This window comes from Homo sapiens, chromosome 3, assembly GCF_000001405.40.
Source record: "Homo sapiens chromosome 3, GRCh38.p14 Primary Assembly".
In the NCBI taxonomy this organism is placed as follows: Eukaryota; Metazoa; Chordata; class Mammalia; order Primates; family Hominidae; genus Homo; species Homo sapiens.
Window position 1 is genome coordinate 73,496,210 of NC_000003.12, and position 27,179 is coordinate 73,523,388.

The 27,179-nt window shown below is 41.3% G+C and overlaps 1 protein-coding gene and 1 long non-coding RNA gene across 5 annotated transcripts in view, besides 2 other annotated features; one reads left to right on the forward strand and one right to left on the reverse strand.

The window, feature by feature from the left end:
• Window positions 1-27,179, reverse strand: part of PDZRN3 (PDZ domain containing ring finger 3) — a 242,511-nt gene that overhangs the window by 113,779 nt on the left and 101,553 nt on the right. The window lies entirely within an intron of this gene.
• Window positions 3,286-3,365: an enhancer, noted in NCBI's record as "active region_20101". NCBI's record gives its function as "activates an Ori minimal core promoter by ATAC-STARR-seq in GM12878 lymphoblastoid cells {active_cell/tissue: GM12878}" and the evidence as "EXISTENCE:reporter gene assay evidence [ECO:0000049][PMID:35858748]".
• Window positions 6,458-6,527: an enhancer, noted in NCBI's record as "active region_20102". NCBI's record gives its function as "activates an Ori minimal core promoter by ATAC-STARR-seq in GM12878 lymphoblastoid cells {active_cell/tissue: GM12878}" and the evidence as "EXISTENCE:reporter gene assay evidence [ECO:0000049][PMID:35858748]".
• Window positions 25,113-27,179, forward strand: part of LOC101927296 (uncharacterized) — a 48,453-nt gene continuing 46,386 nt past the window's right edge. Inside the window, exon 1 of the long non-coding RNA NR_121660.1 lies at window positions 25,113-25,434. This is a non-coding gene — a long non-coding RNA (uncharacterized LOC101927296). The remainder of the gene's footprint in view (window positions 25,435-27,179) is intronic.

Sequence of the window (27,179 nt, forward strand, 5' to 3'; positions counted from 1 at the left end):
TCATTTAACTTAAGAACATTTTCCAAGTTGTTGATGCCTATTGAGGGTTACAATCCAATTACCTCATTCTTTTTCTTCGGAGAGGTAAATATTCTGATTTTTATGTTTATCTTTCCTTTGATTCCTTATTAACACTTTATTATGGAAATTTTCAAATATATACGAACATAGAGAACTAACTTAATAAACTCTCATGTACCCAACACAATTTGAATGATTAATCAACATTTTGCCATTCTTGTTTCATATGTCAACTCGCCATTCTTTTTATTTCCTGGGTGTTTTTTTTAAAAGCAAATCCCAGAGACCATGTCATTTCACACAGAAATAATTTATAACGTATTTCTAAGTAAAGAGGACTTAAAAAAAAACAAAATTATAACTACAATGCTAATATCACATAACACAATTAGCAATTCTTTAATTTCATCTAACATCCATCCATATTCAAATTTCAACACACAAAAAGTCCTTTTATAGTTAGTAATAAAAAAGGTAAAAAAATTAAAAAGATACAAACCCAAGAAAACCCCACATTATTTAAAAAATATTTTACTTAAAGCTTTACCAGGTGGCCAATCCATCCCTCAAATTAGCAAACAATTGTAAGTTTTACTATGTAATCAATAGCTCGCTGACCATTACTAATTATATTCAAGGAAGCTAACTGAGGACACAGTTTCTTCCTCTCCCGTCCTGTATTTGGCCTTGTCTTCAGCAGAATCATTAACGTATGGGCACAGCAAATGGCAGGGTTTTGAGATTCGCACGTGTGCTGATGTGGTTAACAAATGAACTAAATTATATGGTGACTCTGATGTTAAAATGTGACTAATACACACTTTGGGCCTTATTTTCTATGCTTAAAAATAATTGGGTAAATACTACAGAGTATTTCGGTTTGGAGCTTGTTTATTTTGCTTTCTTTAAGACAGCATATGATTAATTTAAATGTGGCCATTCAGGAACATTTGCTTCCCTGTTCTGTCTGCTTTTTACACTCAGAACAGAAAAAAAAATGTACATTTGGAGAGCAGTAACACACATGCATTTTACAGGGAGACTTAGGTAAATGTGGAAACAGCTTCTGTGGGATTTTGGTCCTGCTTTTCTTGGTGTATTTATCAATAATGAAGAAAGCCATGAAAACTCATCTTTAAGCCAAATGATCAGATTTTTGTGAATTCAGCTACTTTAAAAAAATTTTTTTAACTTTTTTACTAATCAAAAGAGCTGGAATATCAGCTACTATTATAAAGCAAATGATTCATTATCACTGCTGATATTAGAGGTGCATCCTGATTTAAGAAAACTCAAAGTACAGAAAGGCTCAAGAATTAAAGGTGATTATTGCCATTGTAAAATTTTTTTTATTCTGGAAAATTCCAAACGTATATAAAAGTAGAGGACAGCGTCCTGAAACTCTACGTACCCATCACCCAGCTTAAACAGTTATCAACGTGTTAATCTTGTTTCAAATATACCTCAAATGGTTTTACAACAGGGACAGCACACAGCAACAGATTTGTCTCCATATATATCTAGGGATATAAGGGAGGAAAGAAAACTCATTTAGGGCCGGCACAGCGCCCCCCGTCCCCGCCCCCGCCAACAGCTCAGCGCAGTGATGGGGACGTAACAGGGGCACGACTCGAACCTCTGGGCCCACACCCACAAGAACCCCCCACCACTGCCCAAGGGAGAAGCACTTTAGGTATAGTATGCTGATAATTGAAGAGAGACCTGAAAGGGTGGTAGGGTCTGGGAAGATGCTGAGGTAACAACAGTTGAGCTTGCTGGTTCTAACTCCTTCCTCTCCTCTAGGCAGAGATCTGTTATATCTGAAGTTCCGCCAGAGAAGGTAAGGCCACAAATCCTGGTTATCTGCCTCTGTCATGTAGAGATACAAAAATCATCTTTCTCCCTCCCTCACTTTCCAGACATAGTAAGTCATCAATCCCTGTCACTCCACTTGAAAATACTTCCCAGACCCATCCCATTTTCTCCATCCTCCTGACTTGAGTTTCTATCTATCAAGTCCATCCACAGTGACTTTATGTGTATCCCGACTAACCTGAAAAGCTCCTGGCCTTCCCAGCTGGGATAAGTAGACATTCAGTGGTTAGTGTTGGGGGACAGTTGGTAGTATGTACCAAACTACCGCTGGCTCCAGTATCAAAAGAGAACACAGGACTCTAAGCACTGCTTTCACCAGAGTTAAACAACACCACCTAGGCATTTGAAAAATGGTCGAGTACTTTTTCCCTAACTGCAACATCAAAAACAATGAATTAATTGCTATTCCCTATAACCTAACGCTACCTTTTTGTGCTAGCAGGAGAAAGGGGGAGATGCTCCAAGCCCACAGTGATTCATAACTTTTTTTTTTTTTTGAGATGGAGTCTAGCTCTGTTGCCCAGGCTGGAGTGCAATGACACAATCTCGGCTCACTGCAACCTACGCCTCCTGGGTTCAAGCGATTCTCCTGCCCCAGCCTCCTGAGTAGCTGAGATTACAGGCACACGCCACCGCGCCTGGCTAATTTTTGTATATTTAGTAGAGACGGGGTTTCACATGTTGGTTAGGCTGGTTCTCGAACTCCTGACTTCGTGATCCACCTGCCTCAGCCTCCCAAAGTCCTGGGATTACAGGTGTGAGTCATCGTGCCTGGCCCGTATGTTAACTTTTTACAATACACACAGCATAGACCCAGATGCTGGCTGTGCGGGTCGCTGGTCAGGCTTGCTGCTTGTCTTCTGAGATACAAGCTGGGGTAGCAGGGTCCCAGCATAGGCAGAAACCAGGCTCTGTTCCTGCCTGAGAGACGAGGTTTAACCAGGAGATTCCCAGTGGCCGGTGACACCGCACGAAAGGGATAAACAACCACACGGCTGGTTCTTATGCTCCGTAATCACTCTGCTGAGTGTCCTGGATCCCTTACCACCTGCCAACAGCATGCCTCTTTCCTTGTCCCCTTCAGCAAATGCCAGGTGCCAGGCATTGCTCTGGGCACTGGTTACAAACATCAGTGAAGACCGGCGAGTCCTGATCTCATGGAGTTTTCATTTGTAATCCGTATAGTGTGATTAGGGAGCATCCATGACCAAATTATAAACCTACGAGGCCCAGGCTGGCCCCAGGTGACGCTGGTAACTCACATGGCCACACGCTGTGGTTTTCACACATGTAGGCTGAGCCATGAGCCGCTCCCCTCCCAGGCTCTCAGACCTGACTCACAGTCATCTCTGTCTCGAGTCCTTACACCAACTCACCACCTAAAACATATCTGAGGCATCTGCTACTATTCGTGTAAGGCTCCAGGGTGGATGCTCTAGATATTAACAACCACAAGTTCTGGATTTTCTGGAATGATCCTAATTCTGAAACTATTCTAGTCAATCGCTAGATAAGAAATCGATGAAATTTTAATATTGTGGCATCTAAATGACATCCTCTAAAATGCCCAAAGCCTGAGGTGGTGGTGGTGGTTGGGTCTTCTGTTAGATTACAAAAAGCAGTAAGGGGATCTGGGGAAGCTTCCCTGGCTCATACCTGGGTTTCCCACCTCCTAGTCGTATTTTCTTGGCAAGTTACATAATCTCTCCATGACATAACTTCCTTGCCTATAGTAAATGATGATAATGAAAGTACCTACCTCTACATTATTGTGATGATGAAATGAGTCAACATACAGAGCCTAGACCACAGCTGGCCACACAGAAAGCCTGGTGGATATTAGCTAATATTATTGTTGTGGTTGTTATTGCTATTTAGTGTTGAGGATTTCTTTCATTATTTGGAAAACCCCATCACCACAGGAATGGGGGTTACAAAGAAAGCCCTTGCTTTTTTTCCCCCACCTTCTAGACAGGGTCACACTATGTCACCCTGGATAGAATGCAATGGCGTGATCATGGCTAACCGCAGCCTTGATCTCATGGGTTCAAGTGATCCTCCGCCTCCCAAGTAGCTGGGACTACAGGCATATGCCACCACAGCTGGCTAATTTTTAAATTTTTTGTACAGACTGGGTCTCACTATATTGCCCAGGCTGGTATGGAACTCCTGGGCTCAAGCAATTCTCCAACCTCAGCCTCCTAAAGTGCTGGGATTATAGGCATGAGCCACTGTGCCTGGCTGTCCTTATTATTTATTATTATTTTTTTAATCTGTCACTAAGATTGAACTTGGCCTTTTAAAATGCTTTCTGATACTCCCCTCTCCAACCCCATTTCCACATGAGCTCTGCCACATTTCACTTTGGGCCCTGAATATTTCTGAGCTGAGTTGCCAGGACTGCTGAATGCTAATCACCATGGCTCCACTCTATATAAGTGTTGTTGCCAGAATAATCCTCTTAAAACACAGCCTTAACATGCTCTTTTCCTCCCAACAATGCCTTCTTGTTCTAGAGTGGATTAAGGGTAAAGCTCCTCATCTTTTTATGTTGGCATCTTACTAACCTAGCCTAGCCCACCTGCCAGTTCTCGCCTCCTCCCAAGCTGGGTCACCCCTTTAAACCACCTAAAAATTTATTCCAGGTCATTTCTACCTCTGTCCACCACACCAATGCCTTCTAAAGAAACCTCTTTTTCTCTCCAAAGCCTTCAATCTTAAGGCTTTCATTTCTTCACACAGCCTAACTGATCCACTGCTGCCTATGTGAATCTATCCACCAACTCTTCTGCTCATGTTGAGCTATATCATTTCTTTTTTTTTCTTACTTGGTGTTTTGCCTCCTACGTGCAAGTCTGGTCTCCCATGACAGACTCTAAAATTCTCAAGGGCAAGCATGGTGTCGTATATTCCTTGTTTTCCATCTTCTCTTCTCTTTCCCTACCAATGTCCGTGTAAGCAATTCAGAAATACTTGTAATTTTTGAAACTCTTTGCACAGCTTATCATTATAAACTCTTGCTAACATTTGGCCATAATTAATGAACCTGATTCGAGTCGCAAAATCCAAACACATAGCCACAGCTGTTGGGCTCTTAACAGCAGAACCAGTTTCCCCACTTGTTTTCCACCTTGGCTTAAAATCACATCCACTCCTCACCTGAGCTAGAGGCATCTCTCTGAGTCCTTTCCACTGTCAACTGGGACACGGGCTTTGGAGGTGATGCCCTCCATTCAGGATCTCATCTACTTTTAACATGTTCCTGGAGTTTGCTCATAGATTCTGTGGAATCTGTCTCTCCAACAGGGCACATCCATCCCATCTCCAGCTTCCCCCTTTCCCTATACAGGCCACTGTCATCACTCACCTTGACGACTGCAGACGACTCCTAACGATTCGACTGTCAGTCTTTCCCACTTCTAATCTAGCAATGGCTCATTCAACAAATACCTGCTGTGTGCCTACTATGTAAAAAGCATAAATAATAATGTTGGAAAGAAGTGGATGCAACGCGAGGCTCTCAGGGTGTCAAAGGAAAACCTCGTTAAACTTGGCTCTCTAGCTCCATATTTGGTGAGAATAAGGTGGGTGACATTGACATCCACATTCTAAAACAAGTCATTAGAAGGCCAGGTGTGGTGGCTCATACCTGTAATCCCAGCACTTTCAGAGGCTGAGGCGGGCAGATCACTTGAGGTCAGGAGTTCAAGAACAGCCTGGCCAACATGGTGAAACCCCATCTCTGCTAAAAATACAAAAAATTAGCCGGGTATGTTGGTACACACCTGTAATCCCAGCTACTCAGGAGGCTGAGGCAGGAGAATCGCTTGAACCTGGGAGGCGGAGATGCAGTGAGCTGAGATCGCATCACTGCACTCCAGCCTGGGTGACAGAACCAGATTCAGTATCAAAATAAATAAATGAAATGAAATAAAATAAAATAAAACAAGTCATTAGAAAATGAAGCTCCTTGAATTGCTGCTAGCTTGTAGACCAAATGCAACCGTTTTCTTAGAGCTGTGCTATTAAGCAAAGAGAAACAACAGTGGGCTAAGTGAGAAAAAAATAAGGCACTACTTACACATGTGCATCTTGATTTGGTTGCTCATGATGGAGAATCAAGTAAAGGGTCACAATGAAGAATCATGGCATGGAATCAGGTATAAAACCTTTTGTTTGGGGTAATAATTATGCATTCAGTCAAAACTATAACTTGGTTGCAGTCAAAATGATAGGTTTTTATTTTAAAAAGATTCCATTTCCATAATGGTGTTCTCTGGCATCTAAATAATTGCTTTCCTAAAAGATGGGAACTGTTAGGTGGAGCTGAGAAAAGATACTGAGTTCTCCATAAGTTAAGGCCACCAACAACTAAAATTATCTTCTCCAATATCCATTGATTCTATTTAACATTTATCTTTCTGAGTTTTCTTTTACTATAGCGGTTTCCCTTCAACTCCCTCCCTTGCCTTACCCATAAGGCTGCGTGGTCAGAATTCCTATTTTATGGTATGCTATGTTCTGAGACTGGCAGCTCATGAAACCAGGCAGCTGTAAGAAATGACAAATTTCAACAGTACAGCTATAGAGAAGGCAGCTCGGTCAAGGATGTTAAATGGTCAGATGGAAAGCAAATCCCCCAGAGGCCAGGTATTTCTAAAGATCAGCTGTGTGGCATCTTACAGAAAATCCTAGAGCCTGGTATCATTGAGACTGCAGCCCTCCTCTCTCAGTTGAAACGAATGATCAAGACGTGGTACCAGAGCACCACCTGCTGGCTCACAGGTGACAGTGTCTTACACAAAATACTTTCTACAAGATGGTCATTTTGATCTGTTAAGTAAGAATTTGCAAGAGACAGGTGTGAAAACACAGTTGTGGTTTTGCACTTCTGGGGCTGTGTATATGAATACTGTTGGTCAGAGAATATTATACTATCATGGATAGTAGTTTTGTTGTTTTGAATAAAACAATTTTATCTCAATGCTTTCTTGATTTTAACTTAAAAATTTTAACATTTTACTAACATAAAATGTCATGAAGTACTTTGGTAACCCAGTCCATTTAAAAGAAATTAAACTAGTTTTAGATACTAGTGTTTCCTTTATAAGCTAAACCTATACTTGTTTTAATGGTTCCCTCAAATTTTCTCTATTAGGTGCTACCTTTACAAGCAAATGTATAAGTGGTCCTTTATTTACTTGAAGATTCTGAGGTCATAAATCTGACGTAAGTTCCATTTACAAATGATGAGTGCGTTAAACATCTGGGAATGCATAACCAAAGTCTAGCATTACACATGAATATTTTTAAACCTCAAGGAAGTATGATTTCATTCTTTAAATACCAGGCTTCAAAAAAAGTATGATTTCTTCACTTTAAATCATTTCTTTATCCGTAAAGCTTTAATGAAAGTATTATTCCCATTGCTGTCTACTTGGCCTTATCCAATGAACAATAAAAAATTCTTCTTTTGCTTTGTTTGGTAGTTTTTGACTATAGAGGACATCATCTAATGCTTTTCCCTATGTACTTTGCAAGGTCTTAAATGACAATACAAGTACGTTTCCAAAAATGTAACACAGCATTTATTGTGTCTGAACTCAACTCTCTCAGTGCAACCATGAACGTGCCTTGAGAAACTTGGTAAAAGCTTTGAACTTTTTTGGGGCAGAAAGGTATCACAAACTGAAATTAAACCTAGAATTAAGGCTTTTATACAAAATGTATACAAAGATCAAGTTCTGCTCTCTGACACATAGGAAAGAAAGCAAGAGTGGGGAGGGGGAGAGCCTAAACAGATGTGTTTTTGTATCATGCAGTCGACTTCTGCATCTGAAACGTAACTCAGCGAAACAGAAACCCAGCCATGTGACTCCTTTTCTGTAGAGAATAGAGTTGAACACAGTATCCCGAAGTCACAGGGCATGTGCTAGACATTCACTTATTCATATTTCTGCCTTCTTTATAAACAGAAATTAATATTACACTGCTGTGTATGTGTGTCTGCTTTTCTTGAGTACTTTATTATTCTCTCCAGATGCCCACCTGATGTACCTCATTCTCACAATTAAAACAGTTATATGGTTAAACACACAGGAATAGACTTAGTTAGCATGTGGTGTAACAAATGAACTCACATAAAATTTACATGATTTAATTAGCTGATAATGGGTCATTAATTGAGGGACTGAAGAAAGGAAACATATTCTCTTGGACACATAAAGGCGCCATTCAGGAAGAATAGATTTGTTTTTACTCAGCCCTTCTCAGGAGAACCACCTGTGCAAATACGGGGCTCAAGTCAGATGACAAGCAGGGTTTTTATGGGACCAGGAAGATTTTCATCTCCATGACAACCTTCCTGGTTCCAAACAGAGAATGTTATTTTTCTGGACTCCTCATCTCAGCCACACCAGTGGACTCAATTCGGCCCTGACATGCATCTGAACACTCTTTCTTGGACAGCCATTATTAACCTGGGCTGCTTCTGACAAATCATTTGGTTGGTGATTACAGATCTGACATATTTTGTAATGACTCCATTTTCTGAGGGCTTCATTTTCAAGAAGTGAAATAATGCTGTGACTTAACACCTCCCTGCAACCACAAGCCACTTTCCCATCTCCAAAGTATACCACTTTTTATTAAGGAGGTCTTATACCCACATAAGTCACTAGCTTGTATATATAAAGATAACTGCGTTAGTATCATTTAAGTGCATGTATATGATCTAATTTTTCATTATATTAATTAACAACATAATTGATTGACCTGTGGGGAAATACACAAAAAGGCTTCCTGGGAAATTCTCTCCAAGTAAGTATGGAAAAAGCAAAACAACAATGTTTTCATATGAATGTGCTTGTGATAGGAAAAGGATAGTCTCTGTAGCAACTCCAGCAAGTGCCCTTGGCTCTTTGGAAATGATATTCTATCTAGTTTTTTATTTATAGCCAAATCCCGTTCCTAGTCTAAGATAGTGTGACACCCATGGGAGGTGGCTTGGAATTTGAGAGTATGAGATTACGAAGCTGAAGGCAAAGATTTTGCTTTTTAATTAAGAACTAAACTATACTTTTATACACGATGACATTTTATGTAACTGGTTACCCACGAATAATCATTTGGGAGCACTTCTGATATGAAATTACCCTCTGATTGAGCCCTTTGAGAAAACCCCAGTCCTTAAAGATAGACTTTGCTTCAGGATTCAAGGCACAGAATTAAAAGTCATAGAATTTAATTCACCCAACTATCTTTACTCCATCAAGATTTTTGTTATTGTTTTAGCAGAATCAGACTACAAATACACTGGGTAGAAATAATAATGCAAAAATACCTCTCCCAAACAAAAATTGCAAAACATCAATTGGTTATTCAAATTAAAAAAAACATTTTATTTAACAAACCAGTAGACCTATCAGAAAATCAGGATTTTTCAAATTGTCTACCTTGTGGATGATATTCTATTGAATTTGTCAAGCCTTCGAAGCTTGGAACCTTACAATACGAATTACTATTTGTTTAATATACATATTACTAAGTAACTTGTTTATTAAAGGTCATTTATTTTCATCATCAGAAACTTACTGGGTATCAGAAGAGCACACATATTCAAACTGCATCAGTTTATAGGTGATTTGATATGTCCTCTTGTTTTTTTAAAAAAAAACAGCACATAAAGTCAGTGTGAGGAAAAATAAGCTCTATTTAAAAATTTGAGGCAAAAAATAAAATTGCGCTGGATTAGAGACCCCCAACCGACTTTCCAACCAATCCCTCTGTAATAAGCACAGAGGAGGCACTCAACCATCTTTTGGATGGTCAAGTGAACTCATTTAAATATGACAAGTATCCCCCCTAAGACTCCCATGAATCAACACAGCCACAAACCATGGAACTCAGGTACGGGCAGGTAGAGAGCAGGTAGAAAAAAAATAAAGGAAATGGTGTCCACTGTGATCCCCTCCATCCATGTGAAACTCATTATCTCTGCACTGAGATAAAATACACAAGATATCCTCAGAACAATTTCAAGTCTGAATATCAACATAAGCAGAATAACAGGGTGCAGGTGGTACCTCAGGGCTGAGAGAGCACAGGCCCCAGGGCTGGTCAGGTTGATCTTGCAACGTCCGTTTCTGAAGTCGGGCCTGGGCAGGATAACAGTTTTCTGATCATATAATTAATGATTGGCATCTCCCAGTCTCAGGAAAAGGCAAACCATATTCAGGGAATAAATGTGTACAACAAAGATGAAAAGGTTGACATCTTTAATACAAATAAAGCTTTTCTACATCAATAAGAAAAAAGATAAACAGCCCAGCCCAGTAACAGGGAACATAAGCAACTGCACCAAAGAAGAAATACAATTGGCTAATGAAAAAGAAAATAAAATTCAATCCAACTAGATAACAATCAGCTACTCAAATAATCTAGTGCCACTTTTTACTCAACAACATGGCCAAAGTTGAAAATAACCCTGTATTATGGAAGGGGCAGGGAAAAGACTTACTCGAATATGATCTGTGGGAAAGCAATAGTCACAACTTTTCTGGAGAGATATCTAAAATGATGACACAAATATTCCAATTCTAGAAATTTTTCTTAAGGAAAACATAAGTTAATGGAAGGATTTACATATAATTATCTTCAGGCACGGTGGCTCATGCCTGTAACCCCAGTACTTAGGGAGGTTGACGCAGGAGGATGGCTTGAGCCCAGGTTGAGGATGCAATCAGCTATGACTGTGCCACTGTACTCCAGCAGCCCAGGTGACCATGTCTCAAAAAAAAAAAAAACAAAAAAACAAAAAAAACTTCAACCCAGCATTGTTTTTAATGGTAAAAATAACCATAGTAATAGGTGAGGTAAATTGCATCACAGCCAGCACAGGCATAGGTTGAATACTACATAGCCATTAAAAGCCCTGAGGCTGAAAAACTACCTAATGACAAAATATTGTTTGTGGAACACTGCAAAGTAAAAGTAGGCAACAATACACTCAGAAAATGATCTCTTTTTAAAAACATTTATGCACACATATAAGCATAGATTTCATTCTCATTTTTTTTTTTGAGACGAAGTCTCGCTCTTGTCCCCCAAGCTGGAGTGCAATGGTGAGATCTCAGTTCACAGCAACCTCTGCTTCCCGAGTTCAAGTGATTCTCCTCCCTCAGCCTCCCGAGTAGCTGGGATTACAGGCACCTGCCACCATATGCCTGGATAATTTTTGTATTTTTAGTAGAGATGGGGTTTCACCATGTTGGCCAGGCTGGTCTCAACTCCTGACCTCAGGTGATCCGCCCGCCTTGGCCTCCCAAAGTGCTGGGATTACAGGCGTGAGCCACCGTGCCCGGCCATTTCATTCTCATTTTCTACCACCCCCTCATGAAGCACACGTAAGGCATAGGTATTTTTCTGTATTGTGAGATGACAGGTTACTTCTCACTCTGAGCTTTCCAGTGCTTTTAGAAATGAAACTGTATCACTTCTGTAACTTGGAGAAGTTATGGAGTTTGACAATGTCAGGTCTAATTAGAATCAGCCATATGAGAAATCACTACTGGCAGCTGAACACTTGGCAAAGAAAAGATGTATTTAAATGAAGCCTTAGTGGAGATCTAAAACTGCATACTAAAGGAACTCTCAGGTATTGGCAATTGTAAGTCAGACTCGCTAACAAAAATTCTGAGATGCAGCTGGCCGGGCGCAGTGGCTCACGCCTGTAATCCCAGCACTTTGGGAGGACGAGGTGGGCGATCATTTGAGGCCAGGAGTTCCAGACCAGCCTGGCCAACATGGTAAAACCCCGTTTCTACTAAAAATACAAAAATTAGCCAGGCATGGTGGCACGTGCCTGTAAACCCAGCTACTTGGGAGGCTGAGGCACATGAGAATGGCTTGAACTCAGGAGGTGAAGGTTGCAATGAGCCGAGATTGTGCCATTGCACTCCAGCCTGGGTGACTGAGACGGTCTCAAAAAAAAAAGAGATGCAGCTATTACCAGCCCTGTTCCCACTCTTCACAATAGGCTTGGCTATCGACTAGAAATGTACTTCAAAAAACCTCTCTTCCCCGGCACATGCTGGACACCCTTGCTGAGCAGCAGCCACCACCATACAACCCCTCCCATAGTGTTGCCTTGAACAAGGAGCAAGGCCTCAGCAAAGTAATTTTCAAGGAAGACCTCCCTCCACCTTTGGTCCTCAGAGCTTCGTGCATAAACTCAGTCCTGCACTGTTCTTCAGAAATCTGGAAACAGCAGTGAAGACATAAAGGAAAACCCTGGGAGTGAAAGAAGAAAAGTCAACCGAAGTTTCTCCTTGCAGAATTCTGTCATCGTGATGGCCAATTTCACCTTGGAGCAATGCAACAGATGATGGTGCCTCCAACTGGGACCTGCCGTGCAGCTCCTCGGGCAGGAGACTATCAGTGACTTAAGGGACCACTAGGGGGCGATTTAGGAGTGAACAGTTTTCTATCCTTAAGAAAGATAAGCCAGGAAGCCTTAATTTCCAACCTTAAGTCACTGGAGGGTATTAGCTCCCAGGTAAATCCTGTTTTTAATTTTAACTATAAATGTAAACAGGGTCTTTCATTTTAACTTCTCCAGAAATGTAAACGTGGAGAACTTTCTGAAAGAGATATGTGAAAAGGCAGGGTATGGCACACAAAATTGATACATTGGAAAATAAATATTTTTTCTCTCCCCTGTCCACTTCCCTAGCCATAACCAAGGCCCTCTCATACAAAAACCAAAAAAGAAAAATAAACCTCTGGCAACAGAGCCCCTAGTGTCCCTTTGAGGTTCTATTTATATATTATGCCTATGGTTTATCCAGACAGGCCTAAAACGTCTCTGCAGCAGCAAAGACAATTTCCCCCACCCAGGCTCTCAGCATTTATCTGTAAGCCTCACGTGGCAATTAGTTACTTACTGTGTAGTGAGGGCTCTGGTGTTGGTGTTTAACTCTCCTAAGCTGCCTTAAATCCTTTGTGGAAGGAGGCAAGATATAAATAGTAGTTTTTAAAACACACAGGCTTACTCTGTTATTTCCATTTCTTATGTGTTTTGACTTTTCCTTTTTTACTTTCCAAGCCCCCCGTGAGGAAGTGACTTTGCCCTCATAATCACATTGGAAACCAGCCATCTGGAGATGGGATGGTCTCAGGGCAACACGCTCACTAAGCATCTACCATGCAACAGGCACAGGAAAGGGCGGACCCAGGAGGACGCAGACCCATGCGGTCTCAGCCCTTTAGGTGCAGAAATTGGACCTCTGTCTGTTTGTCCTGTAATTTCTCCAACATGTGGGCACTAGGCTGATCATTTCATCTCCCCTGGCTCAGTTTCCTCTTCTATAAAAACAAGGTCATTGAAAGAGATGGTGGCTCATGTCCCTTCTGGATCTCCCAGTGCTATGGCTCAAAGGGGCGTTCCCTCAGTACTCAACTAACGTACTGACAAACTAGGCTTTCAGTCTTGGAGGGCAAGAAGTATCTCTCACCTGAGATCCTGCAGGAAAGTCACAGCAAAATTTAATTTTAAATTGGAGATTCAGGCTTTTAGGCCTTTCCAAGGAAAACAGCCTCTTCTCTTACTGCCTAAGCAACTCCTAGCAGTAACTTTCAACTCTGATTGAATAATCAATTCTTGCCCAAAGACGCCTGAGTAAATACCAAACAGACAACTTCCTGCCTTGAATCCTGGCACGGGCGGGCGGCTCTTCTCTGTGACTTCCCTGAAAACCCACTGCAAATGTTTCCACCTGGGGAAATCAGGGGCTGAGGCCTCCAGCCACCCTTTCCTTGAAAGCAATCGTTGCAAATGTTTTGAAAACAACGGATTATCTTTAAAGAAGCAGTAACAACAGAAAGCCATTTGTTTCTTCTACCATGACTGATTCATCTGTCGTACACTGGAGGTTGGGGGTGGAGGAGGAGAGGCCCTCAAACAAATGTTTCCTATCAGTGGCAAGTATTTTGATAATCAGGAAAATACCAAATAGATTTGCAACCAGCTTGGTAAACTACTTAGCTTGAGGATTCAACAGGATCCCTACTGCACGCTTTCTGCCTCCTGTAGCTAACTCTGTCCATTTTTGTGTCACGTAATTCTTCAGCCAGAACTCAAGCACGACCGTAATAAATATAGTTCATGGGTATGTAAAACTAGTGCTCCTTATGTACAACCTTTTACGTCTGGTCTTGCCTGGAAACTGGTGGCTCCATTTCTAGATCTCTACCCGAGAAGAAACACTAGCACATATACACGCACAAGGAAAAAGGTCTATGAAGGCTCGCAGCACCATTGCTTGGAAAAGCAAAAAAGCTGCAGTCTAAATATCCAGTTATAGGGGAATAAATAAAGCATGTGCTCTATGCCAGTGAAGAGGCCTGAGTCAGAAGGAAATTTAAAAGACCACATAAGCACAAAATACAGAAGGAAAGAAAACATAACATTCATAGAGATCGACTCCTGCAGTGGGGAGGAGGCTGGTTTGGAGCTTGGAGTCAAGGAGGTAGATCCAAGGACAGCTTTAATTATATATGCATAGTCATCTCCCCCTTATCCTCTAGGGATATATTGCCCAGGGCCCAAATGCATGCCTGAAACCACAGATGGTACCTAACCCTACAAACATTTTTTCCCTATACATAAATACATATGATAAAGTTTAATTTATAGATCAGGCACAGTAAGAGATTAACAATAAAATAGACCAATTAAAACAATATACTGTAATAAAAGTTATATATGCATGTGGTCTCTTTCTCAAAATACCTTATGATAGGTACTATACTCATCTATTTTCAGACCATGGTTGACCACAAGCAGCTGAAACCTTGGACAGAGAAACCGTGGCTGGGGGGACCACTGAAATACTCTACAGTTCTGACATGAAAATATGAAGGAAAAATATTCAGATATCGCTTTTAACATATACAAAGGGAGAAAACAAAACACTGAAGGCAGAGGCGGCAAAATGTTACCAGTGGCTACTTTTTTATGGCAGAAATATGGTGACTTCATTTCTCTTTCATGCTTTTCTCTATTTTTCACCCCTCTCTTACCCCCAGTAAAAAACAATTAAGCAAGCCTGTAACCCATCGTGGTCTCTGACACTCTCACCATCAGGGAAAGTGAAGTCTACTGAAGAAGGCTCCCGCCAACCCAAAAACAGAAAGGCCCAAGCAGGAAGCGGGACGACTCTCTTAGCCCTTTGTTGTCCATGCTAGAAAAAAGATCATCCTTTATAAAACGCCTCTACTCCAGCCCTGGGTGTCGGCTGGGCCCCCCGTCTGCATCCTCTAGAGCTGGGTTTCCAGGGGGTGAACGTGGTGGGATTTCACATGTGGTTTTGCTTGTGCATTTGGACATTCTTTGTGGGGCAAGCTTTTCCCTTCTTATTTTCTGACTGCTCCTAGAGAAGATGATTTGCTGCACGCCTCCCCCTACAATCCCAACCCGGAGCCAATGAGGGGAACAGATCTGGGGATGGAGGCAGATAATGGCAGCATTTCTCACTGCCCTAAAGTACCGTCCACCACGCCAGCAGACAAAGCGGGGCATGTTGTAAAAAGCAGTTCTGCTGGCAAACGGCTAACAAATCCATGTATTTGCAACCAAGGACTGGCGGCCGCATCTAAAACAGACACCTCATTGTGCTTGGTTTAAAAGGAGCCCTTGGAAGTAGGGCCTTTCAGGCTGACAGTTAAATCACAACGGCCCATATTTACATGAACGGCTTCCAACCGTCTGGGCGAATACACAATATTTCCATTTCACAGAAACCAGGGATGGTGACAACACAGAAGCCAGAGAGACCAGAAAGTAAACTTCTGATTGGTACGAATGTGTTTAAGCAGCAGAGCCTATACACTTATACACTTGCAGAAGTTAACGCGCTCCTTTGGTAAGCAAGTTTGTTATTGTTGTTAATTCCATGACAAATGTAACAGCTCAGCATACACACACCTAGGTGTCTCAAGAAGGCTTTCTACTCATTTAATCAAGTGTGTTCCTGTGAGTGCTTTCAGTTGCTCTGGCATTAGCAGGGAAGCTGCGTGATTCTTCAGTTCTGATTAAAAGCTAGGAGAGCACAACTTTGTAAGCCCATCACAGCAGCGAACCGTTCCAAATTCAGACAGGAAACACCTGGAACTCTGTGCACCACTAGGAACGCACTTTACATTTCAAAACAGATGATTCTAAATTGTTCATAAATATTTGTCTTGTTTCAATAAAACACTCTTCAACCAGTTTCATAAACCCTTGGTTCAGAAGGCTAAAACGTACACGCTACTAGGCATCCACATTCTTTTAACATTGCATATATTTATGTGGACAATATCCTGGAAACATAAAACCCAATGGCAGGCATTTAATAGCGTCATATGGGAATTTTAGTTGTTTTTTTTCTTTTTTTTTTCCGGGGAGAAGGACAACTCTCTCCTTCCATAAATAAAGCCCAAATTGCACTTGTTGTCTAAAAAAAGTGAACTGAAATATAAATTAAACTCAAGTTTCTTTAACTTGCCTGTTATAGTAAATAAGACCCAGACAAACCCTTCTGGAGGCTTAGAAAAGCTTTAATATAATTGATTATTAAACCTCCAGCTATAGGATAGAGTCATACTGAAGGCCTTGTAGCCAAACATTCCCTCATTCTTGAACATGATGAGCCCTTTAAAATGTTTTTAAAAGCTGTTTTTAAAAAGACACTAAAATGAAAAGTAGCTTAGTTTATAGGTTGAAAATTAATCTTTAAAAGCCATTTCTGTACATTTTTAGTATTGTCCAGATTTTCTACCATACACATGGACTTGTATTGCTTTCATTTATTTTAATGTATACTTTGATCATTAGAAAAAATGAAAATGATTTACACACACACACAAAGAAGAAAGAATCGGGTACCAAGGGCCAGTTCCCAGGTGCTGAGATAGGGTGTTGCGGAGGCTGCAGCCACAGCCTCAAACCCAAGCCAGCCTGCCAGGGCACTCTGAATCTAGCCCACGGACCTCCAAAGTCGAAAACAGGGCAACCCAGGCTTCCCAAGAGTTAAATGGGAAAGTGGGTCACTTCGAAGTACTGTCCAAAGATTGCTACGAGTGAGCTGCTGTTCATAGTCATCGTCTTCTTTTTAAACAGTTATAATTAAAAATTCATCAACTGACCATAAACTTCTTACTCTGGTCTAACTAAGAAACATCAGCACACTGCTCCCGGTAAATGAAGATTAGGCATGGCGGTGATAAGAGACTGCATAGAGGCTCTTCGGAACCATAAAAGATGGTCGTTAGAGGTAATGATAAACTAATTCTGGATACATCAGGCAGCAGATGCTCAGCCCTAGGTTAATGATTAACGTGCTGGACCCTGGCCAGTTAAGAAGTTGTTTAACCAATGCCCCTGAGAAGCAAACTTGTTAACATTCACTTGTTCCTAACTACAGCCACTGTTTTCTCTCTCTACACTAACTACACTGCAAGTAAGTTTTCATCTTTCCCTGCCTCAAACCAAGAATTTAACATGGAGGTCCAGAACTAAGACCTAAGCATAAAGCTCATTCAATTTTCTCAGACTTTTGAACCTTTACTGAACCAACCAAAGAAATATTACTCTCCCACTAGACTAAAATATTCTGACCCACAGTTGAATGGTAATTGGTAATAGCTTAGTTTGTTGTTCTTGGATGAATTTTTATTGCACCCGAAAAGAGACACCCACAAAATTTAAGTGCATTGATGAAATTATACTTCAGAGATGACAAAATAGAAGAATCTTATTTGTTTCTATATACAAGGTTTCTATGTCCTTCTAGTTGGTACATTCACAGATAGGATATTTAAGGGTCAGGCTGCCACTGTCAAACAAAATAAAACCATTTAGAGACATTTAATCTAATTTTAGGAACAATGCATTTTAGGAAGGTGATTAGTAATGCAAATGTAAAATTACCCTTGGTTGGGATAAGCAAGACAAACAAAGGATACTTAGAAGTACTTGTGTTGTCTTCAGGATTAGGGAATGCTGCTTTGATCATGTTGAAAGGAAGATAGAAAAAAGATTGAAAAGCTGGGTCTCTAAGGTAGGAGGTCTGGGATCTGTTTATTCTACTTAGTTCAAGTTGGAATTGATGCTGTTAAACATGTGAGATGACCCTAAACTACTCTTCAGGGTTAAGGCAGGTCTGAGGCAGATGGATGAATTACGCAAATGGACTATAATGTGTAATCTGTGCATGTGTGTAACAATAAAATACAGTTCTATCAAGATTTTGGTTGAGAAAAGTTAATGATAAAAGGGCTGGGCTGGAAGACTGGGTCGAGGAAGGAGAGTGATACTTAGGGTTTACTCACATCTTATCTAGGCAACTTTTCTGGTCTTGATTTGGGCTTTAAGGGCCATGAATACACAAATATACTTAAATTCCTACATTTCCAGTATATATGATGTAAGAAATTTCAACCAATTGGTCTGAATCTTCTATATTTTGCACTTCTCATCAGGCACCTAGCCAACGGTTGAGGGCTGATCTTCTGACTTGGCTTTCCTGGTTGACCAGTGCTGGTTCTATAACCCAATTAACTATCAGAATTCCAAGCAATGAACTAAGCTTGCTGGTTTCATCCTGGCAGAAATGAACACAATCTTGAGCTAAAATTGTACAGTTGTAGTCCAACAATAATGGCAGATACAAAGGCTATGTTCCCGGTACAAAGACAAGCATTTCACCTGCATAATCTCATTTAGCACTTAACAATTCTGTACCGGAGATATTATCTATAAACCCATTTTACAGACGAGTAAACAAACTCAGCTAGATTACAAAGTGAGAAAGCGATGGAAGCCACATCTAAATCTAGCATACCTGATTGTAAAACAAAATCCCCCTATACTGTTTTCTAACATGAATAACCACTCCACCCCAGTACTTTACCCCTACAGATTCATTGGTGGTATAGAAACAAAGGACTCCAAGGACACAAAAGCCTAGGTGTCCTTTTCTGACTAGGTAATTGGGTGAGAGCCTCCTTTTCCACCAACAATCAGCCCTTTTTTTTTTTTTTTTTTTTTTGAGATGGAGTCTTGCTCTCACCCAGGCTGGAATGCAGTGGCGCGATCTCGGCTCACTGCAAGCTCCGCCTCCCAGGTTTACACCATTCTCCTGCCTCAGCCTCCGAAGTAGCTGGGACTACAGGCACCCGCTACCATGCCCAGCTAATTTTTTTGTATTTTTAATAGAGATGGGGTTTCACCATGTTAGCCAGGATGGTCTCGATCTCCTGACCTCGTGATCTGCCTGCCTCGGCCTCCCAAAGTGCTGGGATTACAGGCGTGAGCCACCACGCCCGGCCCAATCAGCCCTTCTTAAACACCTAGAAATAAATGTGCTTCTCTCCCAACTCCAAAAAGTTCCTATAAGGAAATGACCTCATCCACCCGTTACAGAATCTCTATTTCAAATTTAACTCCACCCAATATTTTTTAAAGATCGATTTCCACAGAAAAGCAGAGCCCAGGATATATCTAGATCATACTCTGGAAATCAGCTCTCAGCTCCATTTTTTCCTTTCCAAAAGCATAGCTCTGGACAATTATATTGCAGAGAGGAAATCAAGACTTAAAGCTAAATTTAGTTATCTATAACTGTTAGAACCATTTTCACATGGATTTCAATCAAATTTTAATTTAAGTAAATAATGCATGGGTGAAAAGTCCTTTTAAAAAGTACAAAATAAAAGCAGGACAAACCAGGCCTATGCACATACCTAAAACAACAGTCCCCAAAGTTTAACTACTGCTCATTTTTAATGTATCCTTTCAGATAAAAGCATATACCAGTATAGAGATCTCATTTTAAGAAATAACTTCTATAAATGCTTGCCACAAAGTTTGTAGATCTGTCTAACTGAGCGTTTGGAGCTCTACTTCATTCTTTTTAATAGGGCTTCCTGCCGTATAGATGTATTGTTATTTAACATTTATCTTGTTTCTAATTTGGGAGGAAGGGATATATTGTTGTGGTGGGTTTCCATTGCATAATGTTACAAGTAGCATTCTTGTGTGCATGTATGTGTGCCTGTATACATACATATCTTGGCACACTCTTTTGTGATTACATCCACAGTATAGATTATGGAATTTATAAGCCAGACAGAATGAACATTTTAATTTTAATAGATATTGCCAAAAGCTGCACCAATGTAAACTCTCACCAACAGTTTATGAGTGCTTATGTCAACACACCCATCAATGTTGCCTATTATCCAACTGTTACATCTCTGCCAACATCATTTGGTTGTGTATTTTCTTAATTATGAATGAAGTTGAGTACCTTTTCACATGTCTATTGATTATATTCTTATCTTGCTTTTCTATTGGGTAGTGTGTCTTTTTCCTTGACATGTAGAAACACGTTAAGAAAGGAGAAAATTAGCCCTTCATCTCCTCTTGCTAGTTTGTTATGTTTTTTGCCATACATAAGTTTTAAATTTTTATATAGTCAAATGACCAATCTTTTTCTTTATGGTTTCTGGGTAGGCTGGATAAAAAATAGATTTAGATTCAGACCTATAAATAGGCATCCATGAAAAATGTAAAAACAACCCTGGCCAAAATTATCCTCAAGTTCTGACATTTAAAACAAACACTCCAGAAAACGTTTACACTTGTTACAGGACACGGAGTCCTGGACACCTGCCCAAACCTTCTACAGATCCATTTATGGTCTTGGTCTGGTGCTGGCTGTGCTCATGTGCCTATGGAATGGGCTATGAGGAGCCTTTCGGGTCAAAGCAAACACTACACACAATGGAAAATGAGGACAAGTTGCTGTGCTCGGTTATCACAGCCATGCTGAAGTTTTGGTGGCCCCTCCTCAATCCCAGTAACCCAAATTCCATCACGAAAGGGAGAATACAAAGTGCTTATTTCACTTCCCATCTGGGGCATGTTGAAACAGTCCAAACATCTGAAAGGAGGTGTGTGTGTGCGTTTACCCTATCACAGGTGGCCACATGTGGAAGGATAGAAAGGTGATACAGTGGAAAGATCCACATTTAAATTCTGGATCCTCCATTTCCTAGCCCTGTGACTTTGGCTAACTTAGTTAACCTGTATAATTTATATGTGTGACTAACTTTTGGCAAGTTATAATACAATTCAGAACAAATCACAGTTTCTTTTAAATTTATAATCCTAGTTTGCCAAGGATTTTCCAAACAGGTCTTCTTTCTATGTGAAAAAAGCTATGCTGGTCATGTTTCTATGTGAAAGAGCTCTCAACAAAACATTGCATAATTATCGAGAGCTCTTTGGCACCTAAAATTTACTTATAGAAGAACAGATACTAGGTAAACAAAAGCCCTCAAAGTTAACGTCACAGCGAGGCTTAGGCCCCAAAGGATGCTAAGAGATTCTTTAAAAGGCTGAATGAAATGTACACAAGAGAATATTCTCAAAATGGCAGGGAGGAAACTACAGGATATTTGTAGAATCTATAGCAATGGCAATCAAAATATTCAGTATGCCATATAATTGAATCCATATCTGTAATTTACACATCTGCTTTGAAAATGGCTTCACATTTCACAAGCAAGACGATGTAGAGTTTCTGTAATGTATAATACTTTGGTAATATGTTTTGTGCACCAAAATATTTTCCAGCATCAAAATTATAAATGGTTAAGACAAAAACAGCTGACCTCACATGCACGACTAAAATAAGTTTCTTTGATGTGGGATACCATACAGATAGGGCAATTATAACTGTTATGTCTTTCAGGTCAAAGCAAAGAATACACATAACTGGAGATGAAAAGAGTATGGCCATCCTCAAAAAATTAAAAATAGAATTACCATATGATTCAGCAACTCCACTTGTGGGTATATACCCAAAAGAATGGAAAGCAGGGTCTTGAAGAGATATTTGGATGCCCACATTCATAGTGGTGTTATTCACAATAGCCAAAAGGTAGAAGCAACCCAAGTGTTCATTTAGTGGATGAATGGATAAACAAAATGTGATATACAATGCCATATTATTTAGCCTTAAAAAGAAAGGAAATTCTGATACATGCTATGACATGGAAGAATGTTGAGGACCTTACACTAAGTGAAATTAGCCAGTCATAAAAAGACAAATCCTGTATGATACCACCTATGTGGTATCTAGAGTAGTCAAATTCAAGAGGCAGGAAGGAGAATGGTGGTTGCCATGGGCTGGGGGAAGGAAAAATAGGTAATTATCGTTTAACAGATACAGTTTTGGTTTGAGATGATAAAAAAGTTCAGGAGATGGATAATGGTAAAGGTTGTACAATAACATGAATGCACTTAATGCCACTGAATTGTACACTTAAAAATGGTTAAGGTGGTACATTTTATGTTATTTATATTTTACCACAATAATTTTTTTAAAACTTAAAAAAAAAGACTGAGGTATACCTACTTTCTCAGTTTGCTTGGGCTGCTATAACATAATACCATAGTCTGGGTGGCTTATAAACAACAGACATTTATTTTCATAGTTCCAGAGGCTGAGAACTCCAAGATCAAGGCACTGGAAGATTTAGTGTCTAGTGAGGGCCTGCTTCCCAGTTCATAGATGTTGCCTTCCGTCTTCACATGGTGGAAAGGACTATGCAATTCTCTGGGGCCTCCTTTATAATCACTAATCCCATTCATGAAGGCAGAGGTGTCATGGCCTAATCACCTCCCCCAATCCCCACGTCCTAACACCATCACCGTGAAGATGGGGTTTCAACCCATGAATGTTGTGGGAGCACAAATATCCAGCCCATAGCACCTATGTAGTGAGGTTCCCTGAGGAGACAAGTGACGTACTTAAGATGAATCAGGTCTAATTGCAAAGTGGGTGCAGAGGGCAGAATGTGCTTGGAAGAGGTGCAGTGAGTTCAGGAAACTTCCCTCCACAGCCACAGCCCTCATGAGACCACCTCGAAGGGAGAGACCCCAACCTCACTTATCTACTTCACTCTGATCTCCTCCCACTGGCCACACCCACCTGGAAGCCAGGGAGCACTGGCTGATGGAGTCCCTTGGGCAGAAAGTAGGGTGGGAAAGAGTGGCTGTGAAGAGCAAGGAGACTGAGCAAAATCTATACACGCCAGCGTAAAGAGGAGGCCAGAGCATACAGCTGAATGAAAAACAGCAAGCTGTGGAACAGGAGGTTCAGTATGATGTGATTCATGGTAAGAGGAGGGGGAAATGCCAGCACGAAGGCTATTTTCTACCAGCAAACTCAGAATAGAGTCTAAAAGCGATATATACCAAACTGACAAGAGTGTTAACTTCTGGGGCAAAGATGAGAGAAAGAAGGAACTTTAGACTAATCTGTACTGTTTCAAGTTCTTCCACAAGGAATGTGTTTATGGGCTTCATGGAGAGTTCAATATTAATTTAAAAAGAGTAAGTGGGATCATTAATTGTTTCTATAAAATGGAGATACCCCCAGCTTTTGCAAAATTGGGTTAGGCAGCCCATGTCCAGGCATGTCCTGGAAGCCCTAAGTGAGTAAAGAGTCGTAACAGAAAAAACATCAAGTTACGTCAAGCTATGGCTATGCCAGTGGTTCTCAAAGTGTGTTCCCCAGAACAGTAGCATCACATCACCCGGGAATGTGATAGGAGGGCAGATTTTTATACCTGACCCCAGAACTACTGACTCAGAAACCTTGGGATTATCTACCAGGGAGAGGGTCATATGTGATGTGGTGGGACAGGAGTCTAAGGCCAAGCACTGCTAGACCTTACTGGCCAGAGCTGCCATAGACAGCAGTACAGGCTGTACAATGCTCCTGCAGCTGTAGGAGGTGTTATTCACATAGACTATGATGAGAATGGCGTTCCTTGGGGGTGGCGCACTGCAAAACCTGCATCCCATCCATACCTGTCAGCCCTTAAAGCAGGGGGGAACACAGAAGAGTTTTAAGCAGGCAGATGACATCATCAGGTTTGCATATGGAAAGACACCCCTGGCACTCTGCTTAGAGAAGAAAGAGGTAACAGAGAGCTATATCAAACTGCTTTGTCTCCTATATATCTTTGGGGCTGCTAATTAGCTATATCAAGAGTAAACTAGGCCAGGTGTGGTGGCTCACACCTGTAATACCAGCACTTTTGGGAGGCTGAGGTGGGAGGGCTGTTTGATCCCAGAAGTTCAAGAGGAGCCTGGGCAACATGGTGAGGCCTTGTCTCTATTAAAAATGAAAAAATAGCTGGGTGTGGTGGCGTGTGCCTGTGGTCCCAGCAACTTTGGAGGCTGAGGCAGGAGGAACGCTTGAGCCCGGGAAGCTAAGGCTGCAGTGAGCCGAGATCCCACCACTGCATGTTCCCGCCCAGCCAACAGAGCAAGACCCTGTGACAACGACAACAACAACAACAAGAGTGAACTAAAGTAAAAGACTCTTTGAATAGAATCCAAGTTGTCTTTACAGCCCAACCCTGAATCAAGGCCTCCAGATACTTGGGTCTCAATTAGCAGAGGGGCGGGAAAAGGAAAAAGGAGGACAATGAAAGACTCCCAGGTCCTACATTACATGCGTGTCTGTACACACACAAGCACACACACACAGAAAAAAATGAAAGCAGGGGTAGGGGGAGCAGGGGCAAGCAGGTGTTGATAAGGAAGAGGTGAGCCCCTTGGGGAGGTAGTTTGAGGAAGAAACCTGAAGCTAGGGGGCAGGTCTCACTGGCAATACTGATTCAAAAGCCATCAGCACCCAGATGGTAATACAACTACAAGCAAGGATAACATCACTCAAGGTGCGTGTAAACACTGGAAAATCAGTGGGCTGAGGCCAGAGCCCCGGAGAACCTCTACATTTAAGAACAGGAGCTAGTGAAGGAATGTGTTGCACATGGCTTGGAAGCTAGGCAGCTGGAAAAGGCCAGCAGGAATACAACCAAAGACTCTTGGCATGGCAGAGCCCAGGATTTAATTCAAGTGAGACGTGTCAGCAAGAGAAAAAGGAGGAGACAGGCACGGGGAAGTGCTGCCAATGTATGTTTTCCCTCAGGAGCACTGGGTTGCCGGTGGACTCGTTAAACGGGTTGTTGTGCGTGCCACTCCGTCAGCACCCCTCCTCTGCTCAGCCTGCAGAAAGACTTCACGCTCTGGACATCTTTACTGGGGCCAGTGCACAGCCCTCCAATTCCCCATTAACTCTCATTCTGAGGAGCTGAGATCAGCTGAGGAAAGCTTTGCCAAGCTTCAGAGGATCAAAATGTGCATTTGGGAGGGGTAGGCGGGCAGATGGCGCCAGATTAAAAAGATGCTGGGCTCGCTCGCTGCTCTGAGGTCTCTGAATTGCCTCCAGCACAGCAGTGTGCAATCAGGAACTCCATCACACGACCTAAAAACTTGTTGAGTCTCTCCAAAAAGACTTAGCCTGCTACAAGATACTGAGGGGGATTGAGATGCACTTCCAGAGGGCCTGAGATTCTAGAAGCCCAGCATCCACCAGATGCCTGCTGAAGTCGATGGCTGCTGCACACTCTGCTGTAAGTCTAAAGCATTTTGCATACTGCGTTGTAATTATTCTTCTTATTATTATTATTTTACCTCTTCCACCCTGCAACGCCTCTCCAAGTAGACTACAAAACCTCCAGAAAAACATTTGTTTTGTCTCTGTATCTTTCCTGCCCAAATTGGGGCTGTCATGCAGTAGCAGGCCCTCAGAAATGTTTGTTAAATACCTGTTGTCATGGGGAAGGACGAGTTGTAGAAGCAGTGGTTGCATGCACCTCTCCCTCTCTGTTTTGTCAAAGTTCTAAGACTTCAGTGTAGTGAGCAGGGTTGACAAACTACAGCCTGTGAGCCAAATCTGGCCCATGGGCTGTTTCTGTAAGGCTTATAAGCTTTTCAGTGGTTGAAATAATAATATTTTATGACATGTGAAAATTATATGAAATTCAAATTTCACTGTCCATAAATCAAGTTTTATTGAAACACAGCCACACCCATTCACTTTCATCTTGTCGACGGCCGCTTTCATGCCACGTCAGTAGTGCTGAGTAGTTCCGACAGAGACAGCATAACCCACAAAGTCTAAAATATTGACTCTCTGGCCCTTTAAAGAAGTATGCTGGCCCCTGATCGACAGTAACACTAAATGTGGAGATACACATGAGATAGACATCCAGATATGATCTTCCTCACAAGTGGAATTCTTTTTAATTTAACTTTTAGACTTTCCAGTTACTGACATAAAAATGAAAGACATTTTAACTTACCTTGGGGCCATAAGCATCAAAACATGCTAGTGCTATAAAGTGAGCAGGCTGTGTGCTCCTCAGAAGGGTCTGCATTTATCGCCATGCTATGACAATGTCTAACAAGTTACTTACATTCTAGGCCTTAGTCTCCTTGGCAGTAAAAGGGGCACAATGGTAAGACCTCAGAAATTTGATGTGAGAATCAAATACAGTGAGTTTTTACCTCTGAACCTGGTATCTGACCTCTTGGAAGCACCTGATAAATGGAACTGCAATAATTTTCCTCTTTGTTTTTGGAGGAATATTTCACTTTACAGAAGATTTGCTCTTGGCCTCCCAAAGTGCTGGGATTATAGGCATAAGCCACCATGCCTGGCCAAAACGAAGAGATATTTGAAAGAGAGAAACAATTCTCATTATTTAGAGATGACATAATTTGTTCTTCAATAGTTGTACCTAATATGAATTACTTGTATCAGTCTGCAGTTTTTATATTTTATGACAAAATTGGAATTACTACTCTAGGACATAATTGCTAACTATGAATTCACTCAAACCTCAATGATGTGTGTCTAAATGAAAAGTTATGATAGCACAGGATGTTCTAGCCAATGAAATATGACAAGAAAAACACAATAAAAGGAAGAGTTTTTTTTGTTTGTTTGTTTGTTTGTTTGTTTTTTGAGAAGAAGTCTCGCTCTGTCGCCCAGGCTGGAGTGCAGTGGCACAGTCTTGGCTCACTGCAACCTCCACCTCCCTGGTTGAAGTGATCCTCCTGCCTCGGCCTCCTGAGTAGCTGCTCAGGACTACAGGCATGCATCACCATGCCCAGCTAATTTTTGTACTTTTGGTAGAGACGGGATTTCACTATGTTGGCCAGACTGGTCTAAAATTCCTGACCTCAGGTGATCCACTCACCTTGGGCTCCCAAAGTGCTGGGATTATAGGCATAAGCCACCATACGGGGCCAAAAGGAAGAGATATTTGAAAGAGAGAAACAATTCTCATTATTTAGAGATTACATAATGGAC